General features: G+C 36.2%; 1 protein-coding gene across 8 annotated transcripts in view; it reads right to left on the bottom strand.

The window, feature by feature from the left end:
- Positions 1-12,144, bottom strand: part of PDZD8 (PDZ domain containing 8) — a 98,167-nt gene that overhangs the window by 39,608 nt on the left and 46,415 nt on the right. For all 8 annotated transcript variants that reach the window (XR_945602.3, XR_007061943.1, XM_005269518.5 and 5 more), the window contains one exon: positions 1,991-2,093. Coding sequence is in view for 6 of the 8 variants with exons in the window: in XM_005269518.5 (XP_005269575.1) it covers positions 1,991-2,093 (103 nt within the window). In the remaining 2 variants the exon portion in view is untranslated. The remainder of the gene's footprint in view (positions 1-1,990; positions 2,094-12,144) is intronic.

The following is a 12,144-nucleotide window of genomic DNA, read 5'->3' on the forward strand; positions in this document are numbered from 1 at the left end:
TAACTGGAAATCCCTGGGAGGAACTTCCAGGAAAGTTTTAAAAAGGACATGGCTGACATGTGCTTTTGGCCAGCTTTAGACCACACCCTTTTTCTTGAAAGGTAAAATCCTAAGGATGCATTAGACATCTTGCAACCATCAGGGCAAAAACTCCATGCTAACGAAGATGAAGGAGGAAGCTATGTTCCTAGATTACAGTATTATACTCCTTTAAAAACTCAAGGCACATTAAAAGTATGACAGGAATTAAGTTTCTTTTATTCTGTATATTCATTATAATTAGTGACTAACTTGACTGAACAAATTTCAACATTAAATACTGTTTAAATCTAGAGATTGTATTTATACAAAGATAGCATCCTAAACTCATCAAATAATTTAGCATAATTGTTTTAATGATGTTCTATTTTCTACCCATATTTGTAATGTATTACAAATTATTGAATCCTACTCCCTGATGTTTTGTCTTAAGGAACTAATAATTCTCCTCCCTAGGAATATTAAATTCAGACATTCGTAATTTAATGCCTGTAGACACTTTGCTGACATTTTCAACATCAGATATAATTAATAACCTAGAATTCTTTCCTCAACACTACTTATGACATATACTAAGATCTAAAATAATGACAAGATTAAAGTCTTACCAATTTTTGCTATAAAATATTAGAACTGTCTAATCTCATATCTTTGCAAATATAATAAAGGATATTGAAAATGCCAATAGCAATGGCAAGTTATGACCAATTCAAAGTAAACGCAAAAATTTAGCTGGACAAAACAATAATGCTTCTTCATGTAGTTATGTATTTCAAAACAAATTCTAATGCTAGTTATTTCAATCTTCTGAGGAATTGCTTCAAATTGTTTGAGATATAACATAAAGAAGGTTGGGGCAAGAACAGCCACCAAAGAAAGGGGAAACTTTCCATGAAACCTCTATTTTGACCATGTCATTACCATGCTCAAAATGTTCAACAGCTCCCCACTGCTTTCATAAACGCAAACACTGTGGGCCAACCATCCTCCCTTTCCAGTTTTTCTTGTCCCTCCTTCTCCACTCTGATCAAAATTACCCTCTTTCTTCCAAAATAATTTCATACTGCCCAATTTTTATATAAAGATGTTCACAACAGTTAATACATAAATAAATCAGAAACAATTTAAAAGTCAAAGGAATATCCATAAAAATACTACATAGTTGTCCATTAAAGACTTAGCAGGATTTTGACTGTTATCCTGTAGTACTGGGTACATGCTTCTACTAAAATAATTATTCACTATCTGAAATTCAGATTTAACTGGGTGTCCTCTGGTAAGCCTGCTCCAGTGTCATCTCTTTAGAGTCCTATTATCACCAGATCTAAAGAGCCTCCTTTATCATAACTTATAATTCCTCTGTCATATGCCTATTTTCTTCATAGCACCTGTGAATCTTTGGGAATAGCTTTGTTCACTTTTTTTGTTTACCATTTATTACTGTGTTCTATCTTTACCCTATAAAATGTAGATCACCTCCTCCCTCTTCTAATCCCCATACCACAAATCTACCCCATGTTAGTATCACAAGAATAGGGGCCTTTTTTGTCTTGAACAGTTTCTCTTGCATCTAAAACAGTGCCCAGCACAAAGTAAGTGCTCATAAAATATCTGTCCAATGAATGAATAATGAATACTCTGAATTCACATGTATTTGAAGGTGTTTAGTTAAAATTAGTTCCTTCTAATTTCATAACTGAAGCAATCTTAAAGTTCTGAAAGGAAAGCTAGTCGGACTAGGTTTCTTGTGCAGGTAATATGAATACTATTTATAGTTTCTTGTGATTTACTTTATCACTGTAGTTGTATTGTAACGAGACAAATAAATAAGAACTGTTCATAGCTATTTGCACATGACCAAAAATAACTCTAGGAATACAGAAATAGTAATAAATGCATGCTTATAAAATAGAACTTTATATAGATATAAATCACTGTAAATCCATTTTACCGTCTTAATAGAACTCCTCTGTTTTTCTTCCCAAACACTACTGCTTAACTCAAGTGTGCAATGAACATTTGCCTCTCTGTCATAGGATCCAAAAATGAGTAACCTGCAGAATAAAACAAAACAAGGGAGAGTATCATACCTGTTATATTCATTAAAATTTTTCTTTCTGATTATTATAACAAGAAACAACACATTACTCCATTACTATTATAGCTTTAGTAACAGAAAAAAAAATTAAGTCAAATATTTTATACACCCTCTAGTGGAAACATGAAGTAAAGCTAAAATTTGGTGAGATTCCAGGATATGCTATTTTTCAGCAGCTAAGTCAAACAAATACAAAGTATTATCTACTCATTAGGTAAAGAAATTGACCAAATATGTACATGTAGCAGCAAGAGCTATACATCTTCAAAACAGACTGTTGAATTTAAAAACAAACAAGATGCAGAATAATGCTAGTATACCATCAACTCTGTAAAACACATACACACACTAAAGTGCAATATAATTGCTCATAAACACACACACACACACACACACACACACACACACACACACACTCTTCATCTACTAATGTGACCTCAGGCAAATTATTTAACTTCTCTACGCTAAGCCCAACTCCTCCTCTAGAAACTCTGGGCAAAAATAGTACTTACCTCTGAGAACTGTTGTGAGTAAAAGGCAATGCACACAAGGCATTTAGCATAGTGCCTAGCAAACACTAAGTGCTCAATAAATGTTATCTCTATTATTGTCTTGAAAACAATTGTCAAGGAATACTGGCATCATGTAATTTTACTGTTTAATATTTAGATCTAAAAAAGACATATGAGGTCCAGTCACGAGATTATATAATATAGTTTTTATTGCTGAAGAAAAAAGGTTACTCATGGGTCCAACTTCTATATTATCTATCCTCAAAATCAGAATGTAAATCTGCCAACTTGTTTCAGGAGTAAGCTTGAGAACAGCTTTAACACTAACGAACATGTTGACTGTTACTCTATTACTTTACCTCTCTATGAAGATCATGAGGTAGTAGTGAATAATGAAAAGGTGGATAAAACACATTAGAGAAATTTAAAAAAAACTGTGTCCGCAGGTTAAAGACCTCAAGCAAATCATGTCCATACTCCACAAACTAGACTCACAAACAGAAGTCTGAATAAACTCATGGTGAAAAATCAAACCCAAACAAACAAAAACAAACCCCTAAAATTCTAAGCTCTAAACAATTCTTAAATAATCTTAAAAGGAACTTTAAACTTAGTGCTTAACAACCTATTATCAAAAAGAAGGCAGTCCAAATACATACAGGATTCTTAAACATAAAACACTAAGTTTAGGGAAAAAATGAGAATTTACATTCATTAAAGCTCTGCTGCCACCACCTGTTCAAAGAGTAAACTACCTAAGGGCCTTTACTATCAGGCAGACAAAACTGCACCAGCTAGTGTCCCCAAATTCCTGACAGGTATAAATCTTCAGAATTCAGGAATGAAAAAGCAAAATTGTCAGAAATTCTCCCCTGTAATCGTAAGTTATTCCATATTTTTCACAGCACTTTAAAAATGTTTTTAGAAAGAGTAATAAAAAATTTAACAAAAATTAACTCAAAATTTAACATAAACTAACTCAAAAATTAACTCAAAAGTTTAACAAAAATTAACTCAAAATTAACAGACCTGAATATAAAAGCTAAAACTATAAAATCCTTAGAAGAAAACATAAAAGTAAATCTTTTTGACCTTGGACTAGGCAATGGTTTCTTAAATACAATAAGTACCAAAAGAAAAATAGATAAACTGGATTCCACCAAAGTTAGGAAAGTTTTAAAGTAAATGAAAAAACAACCCAGAGAATGGGAGAAAATGTTTGCAAAACAAGTATTTGATAAGGGCCTAGTATCCAAAAAACATATAAATTCTTTACAGCTCAACAATAAAAAGACAAATAATGCAATTTTAAAATGGGCAAGGAATCTGAATAGGCACATCTCCAAAGATGCACGAATGGTCAACAAGCACATGAAAAGATGCTCAACATCATTAGCCATTGAAGAAGGGCAAATCAAAATGACTTTATACCCACTAGATTGGCTATAATAAAAGAGACAATAACAAGTATTGCTGAGGATATGGAGAAATTAGAATGCTCATACATCGCTGATGGGAATGTAAAATGATATAGTCACTTTGGAAAACAATTTGACAGTTACCTAAAAAGTTAACATAGAGTTAACACATAGCTCAGTAATTTCACTCCTAGGTGTGTAAGCAAGAGAAATGAAAGCATACATTCATACATGCATGCAAATGTTCACAGCAGCATTATTCATACCTAATAGCCAAAAAGTGGAAACAAGCCAAATATCCATCAAATGATGAGTGGGATAAATAAAATGTGTCATATCCATATAATGAAATATTATTCGGCAATAAATGAAGTATTAATACATGCTACATACACTATGAATGAACCTTGAAAAACTTCTAAGTGAAATAAGCCAGCCACAAAAGACTACATATTGTATGATTCCATTCATATAAAATATCTTGAATAGGCAAATTTATACAGATAGAAAGTTATTTAGGGTTGCAGGAGGAGTACTAGAGGAAAATGGGCATTACTGATAATGGTTATGGAGTTTCTTTGAGGGGGATGAAAATATTCTAAAATTAAACTCTGACGGTGGTTATACAGCCCTGTAAATTTATTAAAAATCAGTTACTTGTATATTTTAAATGGGTGAATTGCATGGTATATTAATTATATCTCAATAAAACAATTGAAAGAAAAAATAAGTAAGCGTAACAATAAATAATGAATCATTTTTCTGTGGTAAGGTTACATTTAAAGTTTCAAAGATTTTTTTAAAAAGATGTAATAATAAATGATTGGTTTATTATGATTATAAATCAATATATTGTGACAAGATTATAAACCAATAAAATGTAAGACTGCTCTTTATTTGATACAGATATTTGATAACAGAAAACATTAAAAGGGTACCTTAAAACCAAATAAATTCAAAAACATCATTAATTGTGAAAAATAACCATACATATTAATAACATTCTTAACAATAAAAATTTAAAGCATACAAAGCATTATTTGTCCTATTCAAAGACTTGATCTTTGTTTTGTGACAAATACCACAGAAAAAGTTTTTGTTTTGGATTGTTACTGATTCGTTCAATTGTAATGAGTATTCCCAAAAACATCTCCAGGTTGGGTGCACTAAACAAAAATTATGGGAGGCCATTGTACTGAGCTCCTTCCTGTGCTAGATCCTAATAAGAACAAACCAAATAAGGGGCCCAAACAGACTTATAACTAAATTAGTTGTAGTTTTGTCTTTTGACAGTTCTGGCGGCCATATGAAGGGACATGAAGGAGATTTCTGATGACCCATGACCCAGAGACCTCGAGGAACATGGTAAAGGTGCTGCTGACCCCCCTTTTGGATCCTCTGTCTTCCTCAGGAAGCCCGGAAAATTGTTTTCTTTTGCTTTGCTTTCAAGCTTTGCTTTCTTTTGCCCTGAGTTCCCTGATCTCTGTGGTTTGGGGTTAATCTGTGCTGTGAGAAGGCACTTGACTTTTGGATTTGCAGTAGCTGAGGAGTCACTGGCAAGAGCTGCAGTTTTAAAAGTAACCGACAGTGGTTGAACTAAGTGGTTATTACTGCAGGGGGCACGAACTCTAGTTTTCAGAATTTGCAGTTATGTTGGTTCTACATTCTTCATTTTTCTTGTACACTCAGGTAAGAGAGGCCTCAGGTGTCTGGTTCACAGAGAAATGGGAAAATCATTGGCTAGGTTGATCAGTGGAATGTCAGAGCCAAAGCCATAACCTGACTGGTGGAAACGGGTGAGGCATGTAAGAGCTATTAGAGCAACCCATCACTAAAAAATAAGACTACCATGAGAAGATAAGCCTGGTCAGGGAATGGGTCAGTTAACATAAAGTTGTCCAGCAGCCACAAGAAAATATCCATGCAATGAAGTATACTGTAGAAACATTATAGGACTCAAACTCGTGGCATATCCCTCTTAGGTTTTTATCTTGGCTCTGGGAGACCCAAGACTCAAGGTAAAAATAGGATCCTTAATTTCTGAAGAGCTGAGTACTCAGCCTTCTGACTACACCTGACTTTCACATGTATGAGTATTAAGCCTGAAAGCTGCATATACTTACAGAAGTGGCAAAACCTTATTAAAGATAATTTAGAATTACAATGGCCATATGAAGACCGTTCCAGAAGAACAAGATCGTTCATCTAAGAAATGTACTTGAATCCCAAGCCTCCCAATTAATTGGTAGAGAGAATGGGATTCTCCTTTTAATTGGTATTCAGAAGCCTTAAAGAAACAACAGGATTCAAAAATAGCTTTTATAAAAGATTCATTGCAAAAAGCTAATGAAAAGCTAAAAATGCAAGATAATCCTCATATACCAAGGAAAATAAGACTGGCTTCACTACTACTGCTCCCCTCTATCCTACTTTGCCTGAATATTCAGTCTACTACCGTTTGAACTACCTTTCTTCTCTGAAAAAGCAGTTAAACAGCTTTTTTATAAAATAAAACCCCCTGAAAATTCCAAAATGATCCCCCAGTAACTTATACTTCCTGGACAAAAGCATAGACAATTTTCTAAATCCAGGGAAGAACTTCAAAATTTTTCTGAAGAATTCATGGTCTTAATTGGAACCTATGACCTGGTATTACTGACCTCTACCAACTAATACACTTTGTTGAAAGGGACCTGAGGAAGCACAAAAATGAATGTAAGAGGCAGAACAGTATTCTCCTGAGAATGGTATCAGTGACCCAACAAGACCTACCTGGATCTACTTATGGGCAAGGCAAAGCCCCCAGAATTGCAAATGACTTTCTGAAAGGCATTCCTAAAGTGTTTTTCCATTTGCACTATGTGGTCTATCATCCAGACCTGCGTGCTAGAGAAATATGAAGCTGTTACTGACTTGAAAATTCACTTGGAAGCCCTTTTGGTAAGGCATTCCAGCTTCCCCCAACTTGATGCAGGCTCATAAAAAAGACAAAAGACAGGCAGGGAGCAGTAGCTCTCGCCCGTAATCCCAGCACTTTGGGGGGCCAAGGAGGGTGGATCACTTGAGCCCAGGAGTTTGAGACCAGCCTGGCCAACATGGTGAAACCCTGTCTCTACTAAAAATACAAAAATTAGCCAGATGTGGTAGTGCACACCTGTAATCTCAGCCACTCAAGAGGCTGAGAGAGGAGAACTGCTTGAACGCGGGAGGCTGAGGTTGCAGTGAGCCAAGATGGTCCAGCGTGAGCAAGACTCCATCTCAAAAAAAAAAAAAAAAAAAAAAAAAAGACAAGAGGCTACAGGACTGAGCTAAACTAGTAATCATAGCAGAACATTTCAAGAGGACCTTAGAGCAAAATAAGAAACAAATGACTTCCAAATTATTCCAAAATTTGTAAGAGATTCCTAGAAATCTAATAGTTATCAGTCATGATTTTTGGTTATTATGTTAAATGTTACAATGCCATAGCAATAACCAAATTTCTTTGTCAATTGCTGATTATAATGAACTCTCATCAGATTTTTAGCCATGGCCATTTCTAACTCTTGGTCATCCACAGACAATGGTTTTGGTTCTTCCCTAAAAGCATGTGCAGTCAGTTACAGTCCAAAATTGCTTATTCGTCAAGATTCATTATAAGTACTCTGGAATACAAGTTTCTGATAACTTTAAGATCATACCATTGGCCTGGATAAGAATTTATAAAACTCTAATGAAGAAACTGATGGCTTCATGAAACTGCTAACCAAGATCTGGCAGAATAAGAATAAATTACACGGAACTGAATAAACTGATGAGAATAATTTTTTATGACTTTTTATTTGAAATATTGCTGATTCTTCAGTGTTTTGTTTTCCAGATTTAAAGAAACTTTTTTTTCTTTTAATCTATAGCTTATGGCAGTGTGGTAAAGTTCACTTTTGTGAGCAAAATTTGAAGCCTTTACTTTTTCATCCCATCTGATCCCTCCAGATTTTGGAAACTATTAGTGAGTATTCTTAATTTTATGGCAATATAATCATTTATGAAAGTTTCTTAAGAATCTGTTCTCCTTGTAAAAGGACACAGTTGGAAACACTAGTACCAAGCTTTGACTGGAATCTCGTATTTTCAGATATGACCAGACAACTTCAAGGAATTAAAGTTGACTTTGTGGCGCCATTAACACCTCTGTCACCCCTCTCCCCAACTGCCACCATGGAAAAACTGGCCTGGTACCTTGAATACAACAGCCCAGCCGGTGGTCTTATAGCGGGGTGAAAAATGTCACTTCCTGACAGGCCCAGGAAACTCAGGATATTTTTGGGACCTCAGAGAGGAATTCACCATAATCTATTAAGTACTATAGGTGACGTTTAATGGTGAGCCCTGGGTTTGGCTTCACAGCCTTGAGAGTCTTTTAAAAGTCTAAAAGACTTATTTGAGATTACCTATCAAAAGTTCCAGAAAAGCCAACTTTTTTTTTTTTTTTTGAGACAGAGTCTAGCTCTGTCACCCAAGCTGGAGTGCAGTGGTGCAATCTCAGCTCACTACAACCTCCACCTCCTGGGTTCAAGCAATTCTTGTGCCTGAACCTCCCAAGTAGCTGGGATTACAGGCGCGTGCCACCATGCCTGGCTAATTTTTGTATGTTTAGCAGAGATGGGGTTCCGCCATATTGGCCAGGCTGGTTTCAAACTCCTGGCCTCAAGTGATCTGCCCACCTCAGCCTCCCAAAGTGCTGAGATTACAGGCATGAGCCACCACGCCCAGCCAAAACTATGAAAAAATCCACACTTCATCTGTTAGATTACAGCCTGGTTCACTGTAAGTTTTTATTATCTTCCTATAGACTGAACTGGATCCTGGATTCTTCTAGTTTCCTCCTGATACGGTTTGGCTCCGTTTCCCCACCCAAATCTCACCTTGAACTGTAATCCCCATAATCCCTATATGTCAAGGGTGGGACCAGGTGAAGGTAATTGGATCGTGGGGATGGTTTCCCCCATGCTGTTCTTGTGATAGTGAGTGAGACTCACAAGATGTGATGGTTTTGTAAGTGTCTGGCATTTCCCCTGCTCGCACTCAATCTCTCTCCTGTCACCTTGTGAAGAAGGTGCCTGCTTCTTCTTCCCCTTCCACTATGATTCTAAGTGTCCTGAGGCCTCCCCAGCCATGCAGAACTGTGAGTCAATTAAACCTCTTTTCTTTATAAATTACCCAGTCTTGGATATTTCTTTATAGCAGCATGAGAACGGACTAATACACCTCCAATATCTGGCTCCATACAACTCTCCAACTAAGAATAATAACTGCTCTGTTCTTTAATCCCTATAAGGTGAAGCTAGACAAATCAATATAAATTTCAAGAGACAAGTTTCATGCCTAATGTGTGGGCCACACAGAGTTCAGCAAATCACCCTATGCCATAACCAGAGACATTAAAACAGTGAACCAGGACAAGAAGTTGATAGCTTTGTGCTGTGGATAGCTTTTCCCAAGACTTTGGAACAAGCCTCCTCATCATAATGAGACTCTCACCTCTCTTAATGCCTTGCTTAAGCTTTCCTCTTTTGCTTGGCGCAGGATAATGCTGTAATCAAAATTCCACAATCAAACAGCTTCTGTAGGTAACTTGATGAAGTGCTGGATCTGTCATGTCAAACCCAAATCTTTACATGACCTAAGAGATCCTTTAATATACCTAGTGGTTAACTTTAGCAACATCTCTAATACAACTGTTTGTTCAAATTGAACTAGTGGTCCCTTGCATAGAGTTAGACTTCTAGAACCACTCATTCTCTCTCCTTGTTTTAAATTAGCACAGTCATGGGAAGCTGGATAATAGAATTTCTACCTACTAGCTGAACAGGGAGGCATCTGTGCAGTTGCAGACACTTCTTGTTACAGATGGATAAATACATCTGGTATTAAAGAGACTCAGGTACAAAAAATTAACAAAAGGCGACTTGGTTAAAATGGGTAGACTTCTAATATAGCTCATTCTTTGATCTATCTGATTTGATTGCTTTGGTTCATGGGGACCCTGCTTAGGGAACATACTCCAAACTCTTCATACTATCCTTCTGATAGTAGTAGTCTCCCTATGCACTGTATTCTCTCAAATGCTTTGAATGTTTACATGCAGCCATCCGTGAAACGTCAAATGGTCTCTCTTGGCTGGAACAACAAAAACTCAAAGAAATGAGTGACCATGAGGACCCTGTAATCCATGAATGGCATGTTGAAACTGGCAATGCAGAATGATAGAAACTGAAAGTAGCACTAATGCCCTAAGTTTTGGTCAGACTCTCACCTAGGGGTACTAAAGGATCTCACCTAGGTGAGACTGTGACCAAATGGGGGGAATTGTTAAACAAAAATTATGGGAGGCCATTGTTTTGGACTAAGCTCCTGCATTAGGCCCTAACAAAACAGACCAAATCAAAATACAGTCTCTGTAATGTTAAATGCCATATAAGCAAATAGATGCCAACAGACTAGTTTTTCCTGAAAACAGGTGATTCCAGTCTACCTGAGTTAGCATAAGTCAGTCCCCTGTGCTTTAATCTTTACCAAGAAGTAACTTATGTTAACCAATCAGGTTTTTTTTCTATTGTTCTGTTTCCTTGTTTCCACCTTACCAAACCTACTGTTCTTTCTGCCATTGCCCAGTGGGAGTTTTCATTCTATTTGCAGAACAGAGGCTGTCCTGATTCATGAATCATGAATAAAAGCCAATTCAATCTATAATTAAATGTTATAATTGTCTTTTGACAGGTGTTAGGGTACACATTGCTTCACATACATTTACTTTTTTCCATGATGAAAATATTTTGTCCAATTATTCTGAATTTGGTTTTACCTTTGAAATGGATATGGCTTTTATTAATTCTGATTTTTAGATTACTTTTTTATTCTGTCACAGAATTATGCAACATTCACATCTTCTCTTTACATTTCTTCTGTTGAAGTATATATAAAGAACTGTAGCTTTTAGTGGATATTCAAATACTGGAAAACACCCACAAGCATTATTACCACTCTAATAAAATAACATTAGTGTCTCCTACAAAGGTTAGCTTCACTACACAGAAGCATCTGTCCAATCTGCCAATTTAAGGATTTGTTTTGCTCCAAAACTTATTTCTTGGAAAAAAAAATTATTTCTTAGGATTTATATAAAGTATAATATGTGCACCAACTTATTTATTTTGTTTGCAAGAATGACTCCCATCACCAAAGTTATACTCAAGACTAACTGTTCAGAATGTGATTGTTTCTCTCCTACAAGTTCCAGATTTGGTTTCTGGGACCTAATTCCCTATGTCAGTGCTTCTTGTGCCTGCTTTTGACCTGACATCAATGGATTCCTTCAACCAGCAGTGGCTCTATGTTGACTGTCAAGCTTTAATTCTCAGAAGAATTACAATATTCCCCCCTCCCCTGCATTTTCCTGATTTCTTAAGATCTCTCTTTTTTTATTATTATTATTTTTTTTGGAGACAGGGTCTTGCTCTGTCGCCCAGGCTAGAGTGAAGCACTGTGATCATGGCTCACTGCTGCCTTGACTTCCCAGGCTTAAGCAATCCTCTCACCTCAGCCTCTGGAATAACTGGGACTACAGGCACGAGCCACCATGCCCAGCTAATTTTTTTTTTCTATGTTTTTGTAGAGAGAAGGTCTCACTATGTTGCCTCAAACTCTCTTACGAAAAAGTAACTTATGTTAACCAATCAGTCTTTTTTTTTCCTATTGTTCTATTTCCTTGTTTCTACCTTACCAAACCCACTGTTTTGCCAATGCCCAGTGGGAGTTTTCATTCTATTTGCAGAACAGAAGCTGTCTTAATTCATGAATCATAAATAAAAGCCAATTAGATCTATAATTAAATATAATCCTCCCTCCTCAGCCTCCCAAAGTGTTGGGATTATAGGCGTGGGCCACAGCACCAGGCCTTGACTGATATCTCCTCTTGGTATTTGAAAAACATGGAAATTTCTGAAGAAATGCCAGAAAGGAGTTCCCACTGGAAACGTGAGTACCAGCCAGTTAGGTGAATATAGACGACATTTGCTTTAGCTTAAGGTGAATTATA

The sequence above is a fragment of the Homo sapiens genome, chromosome 10 (genome assembly GCF_000001405.40).
Source record: "Homo sapiens chromosome 10, GRCh38.p14 Primary Assembly".
NCBI classification, from domain to species: domain Eukaryota; kingdom Metazoa; phylum Chordata; class Mammalia; order Primates; family Hominidae; genus Homo; species Homo sapiens.